General features: G+C 53.2%; 1 protein-coding gene across 7 annotated transcripts in view; it reads right to left on the bottom strand.

The window, feature by feature from the left end:
* The window catches only part of USP35 (ubiquitin specific peptidase 35), a 48,301-nt gene that overhangs the window by 28,107 nt on the left and 2,254 nt on the right, over window positions 1–17,940 (bottom strand). For 5 of the 7 annotated variants that reach the window (XR_001747930.2, XM_047427335.1, XM_047427334.1 and 2 more), the window contains exons 2-9: window positions 12,195–12,877; window positions 11,045–11,177; window positions 9,389–9,518; window positions 8,879–8,980; window positions 8,305–8,463; window positions 3,078–3,271; window positions 1,490–1,583; window positions 150–256 (exon numbers count right to left, since the gene is read on the bottom strand). Coding sequence is in view for 6 of the 7 variants with exons in the window: in XM_047427335.1 (XP_047283291.1) it covers window positions 150–256; window positions 1,490–1,583; window positions 3,078–3,271; window positions 8,305–8,463; window positions 8,879–8,980; window positions 9,389–9,518; window positions 11,045–11,177; window positions 12,195–12,867 (1,592 nt within the window). In the remaining variant the exon portion in view is untranslated. Of the gene's footprint in view, window positions 1–149; window positions 257–1,489; window positions 1,584–3,077; window positions 3,272–8,304; window positions 8,464–8,878; window positions 8,981–9,388; window positions 9,519–10,394; window positions 10,504–11,044; window positions 11,178–12,194; window positions 12,878–17,940 lie in introns of those variants that run through there. The other 2 variants (XM_011545188.3, XM_011545187.3) reach the window with 2 other exon arrangements.

The following is a 17,940-nucleotide window of genomic DNA, read 5'->3' as shown; positions in this document are numbered from 1 at the left end:
GCCCTTCCAGCACACCCCTTCTCCACGCCCTCCACATGTTGGAGGCAGCACACTTATTCCCTGGACGCTGCAACACAGCTCAGAGGTACTGGGCTTGCCCCCAAGGACCCTCTAGACCTGGAGTCTTCGCGTAGCCCTGGCCCCCTTACCGATCCAGCAGGTACTTCAGATACTCCGAGCAGTCCTGCTGGGTGCCAGGGCTGAACCAGGGCGTCCAGGATGCGGAGAGGAAGTTCTCTGGGGAAATGGCAGGCCGCTAGGACAAGGCAGGCGAAAGGCATGGTCAGGAGCAGGAGGCCACTCACCAGCCAGCTCTGCACAGGTTAGGCCTGAGGGTCTACCTCATTCCCTCGGCCTCAAACTTCCTGGCCTCCTCCATGAGGTCCTCCCCGCTTTTCTATTGTCCCTGACCCAACCCAGCCCACATGTCCACGCCTCTGAGCAGGGCTGAGCAGGGCATTGGGCTCAGAGAAATGAACGAGGCTCTAGGAATCTTCTCTTCCTGGCACACCTCAAACATTCTCTCCCTGCCTCCACTCACTGCCATTCTCTCCCGTCAAGATGAGTCCCAGATACAGCGCTGCCTCTTCCATGTCATCTTCCCAACCCTCCCTCACTGACCTTTCCCTTCCCTCCATGAGCCAGGGAGGGATTACTCATTTCTGTGCCCCCACACAGAGCTTTGCATAATCCCTGGCCAAGGGCTTTAGGCTCCATGAGGGCAGAGATGGTGTTTGTTCTGTTCACCTCTGTACCCTCAACAGCTCTCAGGCTGCCTGGCCATGTGGGTACTCAAAAATAACAGCAGAATGAAGCAACATGCTGTGGTGTGACTGTGTCCTCCAAAAAGCATGTGTTGGAAACATAATCCCCAGTGCAGCAGTGTTAAGAGATGGGACCTTCAAGAGAGGATGAGGTCCTGAGCACTCTGCCCTCAGGAATGTATTATTTCCTTATCACAGGCCGTTTGCTTTCCCCAGCAGCCACAAATGGAGACAGGAGCAGGTTCCTGATAAAAGGGTGAGTTCATCCCGCTTTCCCTTCTCTCATGCATGCTCTCACACCCTGTGATGCCTTCTACCCACATTATAATGCAGCAAGAAGGCCGTCACCAGACACAGCCCCTCGATCTTGGGCCTCCCAGCTTCCAAAACTGAGAAATAAATTTCTTCATAAATCACCAAGCCTCGAGTATTTGGTTTTAGCAGCATAAAATGGACTATGGCAACACCATAATGCGATGGATGGACTGAATTGCCAAAGGGAAAGATTGGGCAGCACAACACGGAACAGGGCTCAAGGGGGCCCGCCTTCTCCTGCCCCAGCAGGGCACTAAATCAGTTCCATATGCCAGCCCGGCCAGGGGCTCAGCAACTGACATGGGAGATGACAGCCAGATGCAGGCAGGTCCTGGGGAAGGGAAAGGTGTCCATGTCGGGGCCTGACCAGAGCTGCCTCTCCACCCCCCTCTGACTGCCCCTACACTCACCTGGCTGTGTTCTAGGAAGCCAAAGAGCCACTGCAGCTTGGTCATCAGGGGCTGTGAGTTGTTCTCAGTCAAGCGGAGCACACAATGTCTGAAGCTTCAAAACAAAGCAGGGGCACCCAGGGTAAGCCATGGGCCCCCAAGGAGTCTCTAGTCACCCATGTCACAGGCAGCCCAGAGCCTCTAGGCCAAAGGCAGAACAGACATTTCTGCCCCAAGACGGAGCCAGAAGCCAGGGGCTGGGGAGGAGGAGCAGGTGAACAACTCAGCCTGGGGTATCTGAGGTCAGGAACACAACAATAGACATGTTTTAGACAATGAAGGGTACAAAGGTGACCCTTGTAGCCCCTTCCAGCTCTGAGACCTACGTTCAGGACTTAAAGATTCAAACGTCCTAAGGTCCTGTGGTCCCAGGATTCTAGGGTTAGGACATGCCACAGGATCCATGCCAATATCATCCCAGCCGCAGCAGCCCCTCGCACACCCTTATTAGCTGCTTCCCTGGGGAAAGGCATTCATCCACCTCCAGAGCAGCAGACTCTGCTCTGACCTGGGCCCTCCAATCGACTCCTACAGCCCCTGTCAGGGCCCTGGCCCCTGCCCCTAGAGCAATCTCAAGCTGTTCCCCTGCCTTCCAATGAGGGAGGCAGAGGTCAATGTGAGGAATACGCTAAACGAAGAGGACCCTTTAGGGATGGGTAGACTGGCTCCTAGTGGGAAGGGTCTGATCCTATAGGAGATAGCTCCCCTCCCTACACGAACATTCTCTGGAGCAAGCCAATTCCCAGGCCCCAGCTTATCTCCTGTTCTCACAAGCAGCTCTGGGTCTCAGAACAAGGTAAGTTCAGAAGCTGAGCGAGCACTTAGAAACATACACAGCATTTTAACATCACAACCACCATACAAGCACGTGACCGTTTTTCTAGTAAGTCGTTTTGTTATATTTTACAAAAGTAATATTCTGCAGCAGACTGGAATTAGAAAAGAAAAACAAAACTAGTCCTTCACTAGGCGTTTTGAGAAGAACGTGCACCAGCAGCACCTTAGAAAGACTTGGAGATCAGCTCCAATCTCCTCCCACTGAACCTGACGCTCAGAGAAAAGAAACTGACTTGAGGACATACGATAAGCCAGAATCAAAGCTTATTTTCACTGAATCAAAGCTGAAACTTTGATCTTTTAAGTAAGCCATAAGGTAGATAGGTGGCCATAGACTATAAAGATTGTGTTTGTTTCATTTTAAAAGAGAGAGATGTCTAATACCAGGATGGGTGGCAGTTCTACTCTGGAAGACAAAATCCACCCCCACAGACTCTAGAAGAAAAGTCAGTGATGTCAGCCAACCCAGAGCAGACCCCACTTCCCAGGGCTGCCCAGCCCCTTAAGCCCCTTCTTGAGTTCCCATCCAGTCCTGACCTGCCTTGGCAATGGCCTGAGGCTCTCTGTCCCCACAGACCTCAGGGAATCATGCTGGCAATGCAAAGCAAGGCCCACCCTCTCCAACCCCCACCCCGGACACCTTTCCACCTGTCATCAGGGAGCCCAGAGGAGAGAAGCAAGGGCAGACAGGGAATTCCAAAGCAGCACCTACTCAGACGCCATGAATAAGGCCTGAAGGATGCTGTTGACATAGCATGTGTTGCCCAGGTTGATGAGACCAATCTTGCCCGTGTCTGACTTGGCCATGAGCCGGGGATAGAAACCCGCCAGCTCGCTCTTCTGCGAAGTCCAGGCATCCTGCCCCAGCAGCTGCTTGATGCGGTCCTCATTGGGAACATGGAGGTCCTGAGGAGGGAATAAGCAGGCAGGCAGGATGGTGGGCACCAGGGTCAGCTCAAAAAACTACCACCTCTTCTGGGAGGCCTTCTCAGATACAGCCAACCCCAAGGCCTCCCAGGCACACCCCCCCACAGATGTTCTGGGGTGTGTGTGAACAGCCCCCTGCTTCCAAACCCCTTCAGTTGACATATGGGCTGCCTCCATGGTCTTTCAGGTCAGGACTGCCTTAAGGTGGCATAATTCCCATTTTATAGATTAAAAAAAAAATGAAGATTCAGACAGAGAAAATAATTGTCCAGGGTCGCTGTCAGTAACTGAAGAATATGCATGTGCTATAAAAGAGCTCAGGCAATGACAACCCTGGCCCACAGGCCAAATCCAGTAATGTCAGGATGTCAGTGCCAGCCCCAACTCTGGTCCATACTAGCTGTCTGGCGGTGGCGAGGCTCTCTGATTCAGTTTCCTCATCTGTCAAGTGATGATACTCCTACCTTGTGTCAGTTTGGCATCCTACGTTTTCATGGTGTGGGCACACAATGATGTGCCCATGTCCACCTTTTACTTTTAGATTTGCAGAATCAGCTTTCAAGAAGAGAGAGTCACCTCCCCAAAACTTGACCCTACAGTCAGGACAGTGGGTGAATCCCTGGGGTCTGAGGTATGGGTCTTGGTCCTTGGCATGCTTCCCACTCATTATCTGTGTCACATCAAACAGCAGCACCTAAGAATACCACCAAGCACTAGTTCTAATGATGCTAGAGGTATCTTCCAAAGAACAACATCTAAGCACCACATCCCGCTACTTAGAGTTCAGCAACATTCCTAACAGTTCTTCTAGCCCTGTTCTTGTTTCCAGATCCTGGTCACAATGCCTTAGATTTGTCCAGGGCTCCACAGAGCTTCAAAACAGCTCAGCATCCAAAGCCCTCGTCTCCCCAGTGCACATCCTGTGGCTCCCACAGAAGGTCTTGCTCACCCAGTGGGGTTTAACACTTTTGCTCATTCACCTCCCAGGATCATTTATCGGATAATTTATCAGAGCAGTCAGTCACTTCTCACAGATGATTTAAAAACACACACACATAACCAAGGAGATGCCAGCGGGAAGACAGATAAGATACAGGCTCAGTATCTTCTTCGTCCCTTCTTTTTTCTGTTCATGATACCCTATCTAATGCCCTCCTCGCCTGTCCCTCCACCCCACAACATGAATGAATAGAGGCAAAAAGGCAGACACAACCCCACATATCCGTGCACACGCAGAGAAGATGCAAAAATATCCATGCTAGGAACAAAATCAAATGCCATTATTCCCAAAGAAGGTAACTTTGTTCTCAGGAAAATAAAAACTTCAAAATAACTTAAGAACCTAATAATGTTACTAGAAACTGATGTGTGATGGCTCCCTTGGCAAGTATCACAGGTCCCAAAGAAACCGCCACAACCTGATACATCTGCCTAAGTCAGAGAACTTTCCAGAACTTATTTACAAAGGCATATGTACAAAAGGATGTACTCATAGAACCCATGCGAAATAATTTTATAAGCAGTAAAATCCTATAATTTGCTGCCTTGCCTCTCAAACTGGCTTGTACCAGGAGTGTTCGAAGCCACAGAACAAATGTGAAGCCATCTTTTCTAACATTCAAAGAAAAATAGGCCGGGCGCGGTGGCTCACGCCTGTAATCCCAGCACTTTGGGAGGCCGAGGCGGGCGGATCACGAGGTCAGGAGATCGAGACCATCCCGGCTAAAACGGTGAAACCCCGTCTCTACTAAAAATACAAAAAATTAGCCGGGCGTAGTGGCGGGCGCCTGTAGTCCCAGCTACTTGGGAGGCTGAGGCAGGAGAATGGCGTGAACCCGGGAGGCGGAGCTTGCAGTGAGCCGAGATCCCGCCACTGCACTCCAGCCTGGACGACAGAGCGAGACTCCGTCTCAAAAAAAAAAAAAAAAGAAAAGAAAAATATGGGCTGGGTACAGTGGCTCACACCTGTAATCCCAATACTTTGGGAAGTCGAGATGGCTGGATCACAAGATCAGAAGATCGAGACCATCCTGGCTAACACAGTGAAACCCCATCTCTACTAAAAATACGAAAAATTAGCCAGGCGTGGTGGCAGGCGCCTGTAGTCCCAGCTACTCAGGAGGCTGAGGCAAGAGAATGGCGTGAACCTGGGAGGCAGAGCTTGCAATGAGCCGAGATCACGCCACTGCACTCCAGCCTGGGCAACAGAGCAAGACTCTGTCTCAAAAAAAAAAAAATGTAATATTAAAACATGTAAACATGTTTATAATTACGACATACATACTTGAGTCTTTGAGATAAAGTGAGGTTGTAGACAAACTCAGAGCTCATGTCAGGCTACTTTGGGTGAGTTCCCCTCTCTGACGTCAAGTACTTGGGTGGAAACGTTCGAGAAGCCCAGATCTAGCCGAGTGGTGCAACCTAGTTTTCAAGGCACTGCTCTGCTGATTTTTCTGATCTCCCTTCCCCCTCACACATTACCACCAAACTAACCTCACATGTTCCCACTTCCATGCCTCCCCTCCGATGCATCCAGAGTGTCCTTTTTCAGTCCCCGTACAGTAAGATCAAACTCCTGTATCCCTTCTCTATGAAGCTTTCCAGGATCTTCTCAAGGCGCGGGGTTGAGAAGGCGGGGTCCTTGAGAAGGACTGTATCTGTATCATCTTATAAAGCCTAACTCCCTGCCCCTACTGGTACAGGTATGTGCAGACTCCCCTCATCCCCTGATCAGACAATCCATGGGCCCCTACTGTGCAAAGCCTGCATCTCACTCATCATGGGTTTTCCTCAGTGCCCGGGGCAGGGTCCCTCCTCTCTGCCTGCACCTTCATTACAGCATTCTCCTACAGTCCTGCTCAAACAATAACCCACTCATTTGCTCACAGACATCTACTAGGCACAAAGATCAAAAGGACAGGGTTCCTGCCCACAGAAGCTCACTGTTTCCTGTCTAGCAGGAAACAGACAGACCCAGCCACAGAATCTCCAAGCTTTCCTCCTACCTCCCTTTCGATGTAGAAACCCTTGGGCAACACACCTGACACAGGGAAGTCCTCCTCATCCACCTCCACTGTCGGGGGCTCATGACCTATCATGGCAGCCCCTTCCATTGTAAGGCAGCTTTGATTATCAAAAAGTTCTTTCTCGTGTTAAGTTTGAAAAACTGAGAAGATCCAAGTAAATAACGGAAGTTTTGTTTGTTGTATCTACCAACTGTCATTCATGCAGGATTGTTCCTTTGTGTGTTTTATAATTTTGGGACTATAAACTCATTTTCAGTAGAACTTTACCTTTATGGCCTGATTTATGTCTTTCTACCAGGTTACCCTTGGGTACTACAAGTTTATGACTATTTTTAATGTGGGGAAGGGCCACAACCCCCAAAATGATATGAATTTGAACCCCTAAATCCACATGAGAGCAGGCCACTGATTACATTTTTTTCCCCAATCCAGAGCCCAGACGAAGCCAGAAAAGTTTCCCTGATGTCTATTTAAAACCATGTGCATATTTTTTCCTAGACCATTCTTTTGCTAATGGTACAACCTTTCTTGGGTCCTGGCTTTTAGTCGGCTTCTTAGTGCTAACTCCCTGCTGGGGATAGGCCCAAAGTCTGACCTCCTGTCCCTACCAACTCAAGTCCCTTTGTGACTGAGATTGGCCATCTCAGCCACGCACTTGCCTCACTCCAGAGGAAAAAGAACATTGTTTCTCACCTACCACTCTGGAATTCAGTTATCTCTTCCTTTTTGGCCCCTGGGGACTCCCCCTTACTTTCTTGCAAGCTTAGCTATGTACTTAAAGTGATGTTTGTTATATTTTAACAAGCATTTCTAGCTGTTTTGTAGCAGGACACTTTTCAGGTTATCTCGTCTGCTGTGCTGCAGATGTAAAAGTCAGATCAAAGGTTCTGCAAGGGCCACCTACCTAGACCCCTTCACCCCACCCAACCTGCCTTCTCTATCAGGCAATGGGGAAGGCTCTGCCATCCAGACTCCAGCTACATGTCTCACTACCTCTGTGACTTTGCACAAGTCACCAAACTTCTCCAAGTCTCCTTTTCCTCATCTATGAGATTGAAATGAACCGTATCATCTTTGTAGGTTTCTTGTGAGCATCAGAAGACAAAACATACAGGAAAATAATCTCAAGTGTAGCAGTAGCCACAGATGTTAGTCACTGTCAGATCCTAGCAACCCGTCAAGCCCAGCTTGATGAGGCCTCTAAGAAACTCTTTCTTCTTAGAGGCCTCATCTGTCCTCTCTAACTGGAGAAGATCTTTCCTTCCTCTGGTTTCTCACTGCTCTCAAGCCAAACCTTGTAGACATTTTCAAAAGCTGCTCCGACCAGAGTTTCTCGTATCCAAGTCTGTCACCCTCACCAGGCTGCGATCCTCTCAATGGAGGAGACTCCGTTTGCTTCATGCCCATGCCCCCAGTTCCCAGCCTGGGCTTGGTGCAGAGCAGGACGTCAGTAAAGTCATGTGAACGACTGTAAATTATCCCTGGTCTGGAGTGCTCACAGTCTGGCAAGGGAGGCAGACAGACAGTGATAACATGTGACAGAGGGATGTACCAAGACTGTGGGAGCCCAGCGAGGCCCTAGCCCAGCCTGGTGGAGGGCATGGGAGTACTGAGAGTGATCAGGAAAGGCATCCTGAGGGAAGTAACACTAGAACAGAGACTTACAAGGTAAGCAGGAGCTGTCCAGGCAGAGCAGAGAAAGAGAACGTGTTTTAATTTCCATACTACACTGACAGAGAAGCGTTTATGGTTAGAAAGCACAGTGTGTGCAAAAGCCCAGAGCAGCCATGAGGCAGCCCAGCCTACTTGGGGAACGTGAGTGGCTCAGTGTGCTTGAGGCACATGATGGACCTGGGGAGGTGATGGGAGACAGCCAGGCACCAAATGACGGGGACTGCCACCAAGCTGTGGTATGGCCCGCTGGAAGGCCCACACTGGTACCTTTGTCAGAGTGGGGCAAGGCCCAAGTAGGGGACTGTCGCTCACCTTGATGGCCTCCATGACAGGCTCATACAGATCCGGGAAGCCCGGGAACCGGAACACCATGCAGTGGACCAGCTCCGCCAGCTGCTCCAGGCAGCTGGTCCCCGAGTTCGAGTCCTCCTTGACCAGAGAGGCCACCATGGGGGGGATGTGAGGGAGGAGCTGTGGGAGCAGAGCTGCGTCAGGCTCAGCACCAACCCGCCCACCTGAGACACGGGGCTGTGGTCCCTGCTGACAGCACGCAACACTCTCTGAGGTAGGGAGGCTTGCCCACCTGACCACTGTCCCCTGACCCAGATGGGGCTCTGAGCTCTGCAGGCAGGTGACTCCTTTTCCCAACAATATGATCTAAGACACCCTGCCTCAGTTTCTTCATCTGCAAAATAGGATGACTACTCCTCTCCTCACAGTCAAAGGGAGGCCAGAGCCCACGATCCAGCTGCTTGGCCTCAGCCAAGTGACCTGCCCCAAGAGCCCAGGGTCAGCAGGCAGGGCCCTTACCAGGGGCAGTAGGCAGGGCCCTTACCAGGGGCAGCAGGCAGGGGCCTCACCAGGGGCAGCAGGCAGGGGACCTTACCAGGTGGAAGGCTTCGTGGGAGTGCTGGAAGGTCAGGAGCATGTACTTGAGCACAGACAAGGCAGCTCCCCGGACGATGGGGTACAGCAGCTTAGAGAAAACCTACAAGAGAGTCCCTGGTCAGGAGTCCCCAGGCTTGAGCTGCTGAGGCCAAGTAGAATCACAAGCCTGAGAGGGGACTCAGAGACACCCTAGAGTTCAAACCCATGCAGAGGGATCAACACTGAGGTGCTCACAGACCCAGATGGACAGACAGATGGTGAGATGGACAGCAACATAGATATCTGAGGAATGGATGGACACACCAAAAGTCAGACACACATACTTGGATGAGTAGTCAGGGAAACTAATGGGGAGAATCTGAGGCCCAGAGAGGGGCAGTGAATTCGCCCAGGTCACACAGCGAGCTTGGTGGGTAGGCCCAATGCTCTGACCTCCCAGACCTGCACCGCCCCTGGCAAGAGCCTAGTACAAAAGGCTGTAACTCTGGGCTAGGACAGGGGCACCAACCTTCTCAATTTTGGTGAGCGAAACCTCGATCAAGATGCTGAACTTCTTAACAGCAGCCAGGCCCTTCAGCAGTGCAATGATCCACTTGTCAATATTCTTCCCCAGGGGCCAGGACACCCAGTCAATCATCCTGGTGAGGGGAGTGACAGTGACACAGGGACAAGGGACACCCAAAATGCTGGGGTGAGGGCAGCCCAGGGGCTATCCGTAATGTCCTGGGTTCCCACATTGACTCACACCTGCAAAGGGCAGCCCCGGGGTCTGTGGGCTGAACCAGACATGGCTGGGAAATGCACAAGCCCAGCACAGCCACCTGCCAGACACTGAGGCTCCCAGCCCACCAAGAAGGGAGCCAGGCCCTCTCAGCACCCCAAGTCTCGCCCCTCCACACTGGGCTGCAATGCCAGAACAAGGCTTTCAGCTGCTTCTGCCTGGAAGGGCACTGCCCCTGGGCCAGAAGCTTTGGCTCCAGCAAGTCCTTGCTGTGTGACCCAGAGCAAGCCACTTCCCCGCTCTGGGCCTCAGTTTCTTCCTCTGTAAAATGGGGATAATACCTCCCTCAGAGGGTTCTTGTATGGATTAAAGGAGATAACAGCAGCTAACACTTAGGTCGTATTCACCATTGAGCAGGATATTCCATCAACTTTACATGTATCAGCCCCTCTGGACCCCACAACACAGCCTGCCTGTGCGGGCTGAGCACACAGCTGCCATGCAGTCAGTGCTGAGGAAAACAGCCTAGACTCAGCAGACTGTGCTAGAAAAAGACAAAACCATGACAGCAAAGTCATAACAATGATAACGGCGTCTCCCACAGCACAGTTCTAGACATGTTTCGTGTATTATCTTGTTTTACCCAATTTAATCCTCACAACAACCCTAGATGATGGGTTTGGTTATACTCCATTTTACAGTTGAGGAAACTCAAACAGAGAGGTTGAGTAACTTGTCCAAGGTCGCACAGGCAAGAAGTGGTAGAGGCGGGATTTGACCTCTAGCAACTTACCTCGAGAGCCCACACTCTTACCCACTAAAGGCAAGGAATCCAGGAAGGCCCTACGAAGACGGTGGATCTGCACACGGGATGGAAAGAATGGCAGAGGGAGGCATGCCAGGTGGACGGGGTCTGCATAGGCAAAGGCCTGCAGGGAGGAGGGGAGCGGCATATTCTGGGACAACTGGACAGGCAGGTGCGTCTAGATCACAGGGAGGAGGACGTTCAGATGAGGTGGGGGATATGCAAGGACTCTGTGAGCTGAAAAGCACCCAAACTCTGCTTCCCATGTTTGCCCCACTCAGAAAGCACCTCGTGAAGCACTCTCACCCTCTTACCCAACCCCAAGGACGCCTGACACCACCCACCTCTGCTTTTACAGAGGGGGAAACTGAGGCTGAGAGCTCACTGGCATGTCCAGGGTCACACTGCTGGTACCTGGCCTGACAGCATCACTAGGGCAGGCTCTCTGTGTCCCCCACATCCAGCCCCAGGCAAGGCACAGAGCAGGGCTCAAGAAAGGATAGATGATGGAACACACATGAGGGCCTGGGCCCTCTGACTCCAAATCTAGCCCAGCGGCCCACCCAGGAGAAGGGGCTTCTGAGAGGAAGAGAGGGAGGGGCCCCAGCCCTGATCATGGCTCAGCCTCAGCGTCCCACCTGCTAATGGCAGTCAGCATCTGCGAGTCTGTCACACTGTCATCATTGCTGAGGTTCCGGACAACACCATCCATGAGCTCCAATGGGAGGTGCTGGACCACGCTGGCCAGGGCGCTAGATGGTGGCTCCTCCTCTGGAACAGGGGACAGGGCTGAGCTTAGCAGGGAGGCAGGCCCCTCCCTTCCCCCAGCACACCATGCCCTGCAGGAGCCAACGAACCGGGCTGGGCCTCTAGGAAGAGCACAGCAGAGGCCACCTCCTCTCCTATAGCAAGCAAAGTCTCTGGTTCCACCTAAACTCACTCAACAAACCTTCACTAGCACAGCCTTGGGGCTACTCCTGTGCTGGCCACAGACGAAGCACTGATCAAGAGTGGGTTTCAGGGCAAGGCCTTTAGGAGGGGAAACGCTGGCGCTAGAGAAGGTGGGAGGGCTGCGTGGACTGGAGGAAGGAGATACTCCAAGTGGAGCCACACAGAGGCCTAGATGAGAAAGACCATTTCCTTCTCGAAGTCTGTTGTCCTCAGTTCTTCACCCTGCCAGGTGCATTCCCTTCCTTTCCCCTGGAGAGCCTCATCACCAGGGAAGGCACACATCTGCTTTCACTCACTTGCACTGTAGTCTAAGTTCCACTGTTGTCAATGGAGGATCAAGATTTTACGTTTCTGAGTCTGCATAGCAGACTCCATCACCTCTCCAGACCCTCACCTCTGCCTACCCAGGGAACCTTGCCCCTGCTGCCAGGTGCCACCAATCTGTCAACTCCTGGCTCTAAAGTGATAGCTTCTATCAAACTCACCTGACCCGAAGACCATAATGACCCCCCCCCCCACCTCCCCCGCCCCAAATCCTGTGGCTTGCTCAACTTCCCGTTCCTCCCTCCGGCCAGGCTGACCCGTATCCTTTTCACACCAGTGTGCTCCTCCCTGCGTTTCCAACACCCACTGCAGGAGAGGACCCACAGCAGGTGCTCTAGACAGTTGTGTCACCTACATGAAGGCAGGCTGCAGCCCTCCACCTGAGCATTCGCCGCCTGGCACACTCGTGCCACACGGGCGCCCGCATGCACAAATCCACACGTACAGCCACCTACCCAAGCGCCCACCCAGGACCTCCGCATGCCCGCGCTCCTGCCCCGGCCGCACACGCACCTGCGCAGGAGATGACTGCGAACAGCTCTTTGAGGCAGGGCAGGATGGCGGCGGGCTGTGCGCGCCACAGCTGCGCCAGGAGCCCGCTCACCTGCTGGGCCTGCTCTAGGAACTCCACGGCGCCCTCCTCGCCTTCGGCTGGGCAGCGGAAGCGGCCGAGGCAACGCACCAGCTGCTGGCAGAAGAGCAGGCGGTGGGGTCCGTCGGGCACACAGCGCGGGTGGCGAGCCAGCAGCCGTGCCACCTGCGCGCAGGCCGCGGGGCCCGGGCGCTCGCACACGGTGCGCAGCACCTCGCGCCGCAGCAGCGCGAACACCTCGTCGGCCGCAGGCCCCTCGGGCAGCAGCTGCAGACCCAGCTGCACGCAGGCGAGCGCGCGGGGGCCCGGGGGGCCGGCGCCACCCTGCAGCAGGCGCAGCACGCGACGCGCGCTGAAGAACTCGGCGAAGACGTCGGGGTGGTGGCGGCCGGCCACGTGCAGCAGCTGGCAGCCCACGCGGCGCGGCAGCTCCTCCGCGCCGCCCACGTAGAGGCGCGCGCCCAGCGCCAGCAGCGCCAGGCACTGCTCACGCTCCAGCGGCTGCCGCGCCGCCTCCAGCACGCGCCGAACCAGCCCCTGCTTCACGCTGACCGGGTATGACGACGTCACCACCGCCTCCAAGATCTTGTCCATGGCGCCCGCGCTGCGGAGGACAGGGAATGAGGTCACAGCCCGACAACCGCGGGGCTCAAGAGTTCCCGGTGCAGTCCCCGAGTGCTGAGACTTAGGGCAAGCAACTCAAACTTTCTGGGCCTCAGTTTTCTCATCTGTGAAATGGGGCAAGGGCGTCATTTCACTGAGAGCTATCCTGATGAAATAAAGCACAACACTTGGCACATAATAAATGCCAGGGGCCTGCGTGGTGACTCACACCTGTAATCCCAGCACTTTGGGAGGCCCAGGCAGCAGGATCCCTTGAGCCCAGGAGTTCAAGACCAGCCTGAGCAACAGCGAGGCCCGTCTCTACAAAAAACACAAACATTACCCAGGAGTGGTCACACACACCTGTAATGCCAGCTACTCTGGAGGCTGAAGTGGGAGGCTCGCTTGGGCCTGGGAGTTCAAGGCTGCAGCGAGTGGAGATCATCCCACTGCACTCCAGCCTGAGCAAAAGAGACCCTGTCTCAAAATAAATTAACCCCAGGGACTTGTAGCTATGGTTGCTAAGCGCCTTTAATCGCACAAAGGCTACGTGAGCCTCCTCCCCATCCTTCCCCTTTGCTTCTCTCTCCCCAGACCTCCCTGGTGACCCTGTCCACTCTCAGGGCAGGTAAGAGCAGGATCTAGAAGCTGCTGTCCAGAGTCTCAGCCAAGTCATTTCCATGGGGGAGATGAGATGGGGCACACACAAAAAATGACACCTCTGTGGAGAAAGGGCAAGAGGCCCCAAGGGAGAACCGACAGAGGTCCCAGAATGCCTCGCACTCTTTCTTTCTGCCTCAACTCCCTGCTCCTTCCCCTACCCCTTGGCTAGACTCCACTTCGTGTGTGTGCTGTGCCTTCTGCCTGACACGTCCTTATCTCCTGAGGCCCCCACGACCACCATGCTCTCACACAACCAAGCAAGCGTCTTTTCCTTCAAAGCCTATCTAAAGCACCCGTCCTCAGTGAGAATAGCCCTGGTCCTCCAGGCCGGAATCCATCCCCCACCCTTAATTCCTACAATCCGCTGGGGCCTCTTGCATTACAGCTGGAATCAGTTAGTGCTGGTGGGGTATGGGTCCCAGTCCCCTCCACCGAAGCACAGCATCTCATCTCCGCGCTCCAGCCCTGCACACCTAGGGCTCTGCCTGCCTCAGCCCACACCGGCCTGTCACCCTTGGCTCACCGTGTGCCCTCTGCCCCTGGGCCTTTGTGTATGCTCTTCCCTCCCCCTGCAGACCTCAGCTGAAAGTCACTTCATCAAGGAAGCCTCACCTGAGCTCCCTGCCTGGGTCAATCTCCCTTATTAAAAATTAGAACATCTTGTCCTTCTCCTTGGTAGCACTTGTCATGATTTCTTGATTGGGGTCAGCCTCCCCTCCAATGCTGTATATGGTTCTTGAGGGCAGCTTCAGGTTTTGTTCACCACAGTATCCCCAGCACCTAGCACAGTGCCCAGCAGACAGGCATTTGCTGGATGAGCAAATGCAGGGTGCAGTGTGAGTCATCTCTACCTTACTCCTCTGAGCCATAATAGCCTTCCTTCTGCCCTTCTCCTCCACCTGGCCTGTTTCCTGAAGACTTTGTCCCACACCAACCCACTTTGAGCCCTCTCATGCAGGTTCACATGGGCACAGCTTGCTCTCTTAACATCTAACACGTAATGCCTCTCCTGGAGCGCAGAACCATTTCTTTGCTTCGATGCCCAATCTAGGCAGGACCTGATATAAGACTCAGCAGACAACAGGTGTTTAAACTTATGGGCTCAGTAAAAACTACTCTTATGCCTGAGAACTGGAGCTAGAGTGTGGACAAGCCTTAAATTTCTGGGATAATAAGCTGGAAAGTTTTATTCAGAATCACAGATATTCTGGAACCCCAACTATGTACTAGACCCAGTGAGCTCCCTGCTCTGTTCTAGTTCTCAGCTGTGACCTAACCTCCATTGCTGCACGTGTTACGATACAAAGGGCCCATTTGTTTAAATATCTGTCTCTCTCACCAGGCTGAGCTCCACCAGGAAAGGACCAGGGTTTATTAGTCTGTGGCTAGCATCTCTCATGCCAAGAGTGTGTGCCTCTTAAGAGTTCACTGTTGGTTAGAGGTTGTAACCATGGCAGACATCAGTGGTTCCCAAATCCTGGCCTGCTCAGAAGCCTCAGAATGCCTCAGAAGCACCTGGGCACCTGCTACAAGCTCAGATGCGGCCGGGCGCGGTGGCTCACGCCTGTAGTCCCAACACTTTGGGAGGCCAAGGCAGGCAGATCACTTGAGCCCAGGAGTTCAACACCAGCCAAGGGTGGTGGCGAGCCCAGGAGGTCAAGGGTGAAGTAAGGCAAGATCGTGCCACTGCACTCCAGCCTAAGTGATAGAGTGAGACCCTGTCTCAAAAAAAGAAAAGAAAAAGTTCAGGGTCCACCCGAAGCTTCCTGAATGAGGAAATGAGGGAAATGATGTGTTCGATTCTGGGTTTTGTTGTTGTTGTTGTTGTTTTTGACTCTTTGAATGTGGCTCATCTGGGATACATTCTGGTTCCCATAAAGGTTACTTAGGCTCTCTGAGCTGGGCACAAGGAAGTTCTCAGAAAATGTCAACTCCTGTTGCTTCAGAAGCAAAGTCCTTGCCTTGAAGGAGCTTCCAGTCAGATGGGGGAGGCAGAAATGTTTGTAAGGGTGCCCCTGCAAGGTATAATCTCAAAAGGCCTATAAAGTGTCTTTAAAAACTGGTCTCCCAGCTGGGCACAGTGGCTCATGTCTGTAATCTTAGCACTCTGGGAGGCCGAGGTGGGGAGATGGCTTGAGCTCAGGAGGTTGAGACCAGCCTGGGCAACATGGCAAAACCCCATCTCTACAAAAAAAAAAAAAAAAAATTACATCAATTAGCCAGGCGTAGTGTCTCACACCTGCAGTCCCAGCTAGTTGGGGCTGAGACAGGAGGCTCACTTGAGCTTGGGAGGCGAAGGTTGCAGTGAGCTGAGATCACGCCACTGCACTCCAGCCTGGGTGACTAAGTGAGTTCCTGTTTCAAAAAAGAAAAAAGAAAAAAAATTTTTTTAACTCTCCCTTCAGCCCTGGTCCCCTTTCTAGGCAGTGCCCGTGACAAGGCAGTTGCTGTGGCCAACCTCCCCCACACAAACAGTCCATCCTCCCAGACCCCTGGGATGGCTAGTGGATTTCATATGCTTTCAACCCAGGATGCCAAGAAATCCTGGTACTCAGGCAGCCAAGAAGAAACCCTAATCCATGAGGCACTGGCATCATGTGTGAAGCAAGAGGGCATGGGGGCAGGCAGAAATGGAGTTCTGGAGACAGGGAAGACTCTGGTAGTAGAAAGAGTACTAGAAAGAGTAGAAAGAGTATCAGACTAGGAATGAGGAGTCCTACATTCTAGCCCTGACTCATTGTGTGACCCTCAGTAAATCATACCCATGAGCCTCTTTTCTGTAAAATGGGGACAAATGCTATTAGACTGAACCGCATGAAACCGAATGATCAAATGTTGGCAATTTCATGTTGTTCTACCTAACACCACATAAGCCTGGCAGCTGACAGTTCAAATAGAGCTGCTCCATGAGAGCTCTGATCTCCAAGGCCAGCCGGCAGCCTCTGCTCAGTCCGTAGCCTGGCCACAGCAAGCAAGCCCTGCCCACCTGCCCCAACTCCCACGCAGGCAGTCTGAGGACAGCTGTCACCATGGTCACCAGCAAACCCACTCAATATCTTGCATGCACTCAGACAAAAGGGTTTTAGAGGCTTGCACCTCACCTGGCCCCATCAGGCCAGGGAAGGGAGGACAAGGCCAGCTATCCCACTGGCAGGAATGAAGAAAGTGAGGCTCAGAGAGAGGAACATGGCCTTGGCAAAGCAGGATTAGAACCTGCACTCTGCCTCCCTCAGGAGGGCTGGATTAGCCTGCTAAGCCCCGGGTGAGGAGATGGCCTGTCCATGCTGGCTCTGACTCAAGAGACAGCTGCCCCGCACCAACCGCAGCAGCAAACAGCAGCCATGTCCTCCCCGAGGAGAGCCTGTGTTAAAAGCTGAAGATACAGGTTTTCTGCTTCAAAGTCATGGTGACCTTGGGTGAGCCCCTGCCTGGCTTCTTAGCCTTCTCATCTGGAAAATGGGGACTATTCCAAGCCTACCATTCACAGGGTTGAGACAAGGTATAAAAAAGATGAGGTCCTCATTAACACGGTGAAACCCCATCTCTACTAAAAATACAAAAAATTAGCCGGGCGTGGTGGCGGGCACCTGTAGTCCCAGCTACTCAGGAGGCTGAGGCAGGAGAATGGCGTGAACCCAGGAGGCGGAGCTTGCAGTGAGCCGAGATCATGCCACTGCACTCCAGCCTGGGGGACAGAGCAAGACTCCGTCTCAAAAAAAAAAAAAAAAAAAAGATGAGGGCCGGGCTGTCATGAGTCTATTTTTGGGCCACCTGGCACTGATGGGAGACACAGATACTGTCAGGGAAAGGAGACAAGGAGACACGCACTGCTGATCCTGCTGATTCTCCAAGGCATTTCCTCCATTAGCCCTCCCTGCCACTTCGGTGTTCCCAGCCCCACCCAGGATCAGACCCCTTGACTTCTTGCCTGGACTAGTGCAGTAGCCTCCTAACCCATCTCCCAATTCCCTCCCTCAATCCATCCTCCAACAGAGGCATGTGTCCTAGAGGAGAACAGAGTCCAGGCTTCGAGTCTAGCCCAGCCACCATGGAGGTAGGTGTTCTTTTACCTCTGTGATCCTCGGAATGCCCAAATAGAAGGTGACTACGTGCCCACCCCTTAGCCTTTCCCAGCCAGCGCTGCTGCTCCTCCCAAGCCCTTGCCTCATACCCCTCGCCCTACTGGCATGACAGCCTGAGGGGCGTCCCAGCAACACCAGCACACTCCAAGGCACGCAGTGAGCACTCAGGAAAATCCCAATCCCTCTGCCAAAAGGCCCAGATCCTTTCACCTGTTCCTCTCGGATGACCCTCAACATTTCTGCCGAGTGTTGACTGATCTCTGCTCCTGCACAGTTGAGCCTGACTTATCTCCATCACCCCAAAGCACCCTGTGTGTGT

This window comes from Homo sapiens, chromosome 11, assembly GCF_000001405.40.
Source record: "Homo sapiens chromosome 11, GRCh38.p14 Primary Assembly".
NCBI classification, from domain to species: Eukaryota; Metazoa; Chordata; class Mammalia; order Primates; family Hominidae; genus Homo; species Homo sapiens.
This window is presented reverse-complemented; position numbering and strand designations above follow the sequence as displayed.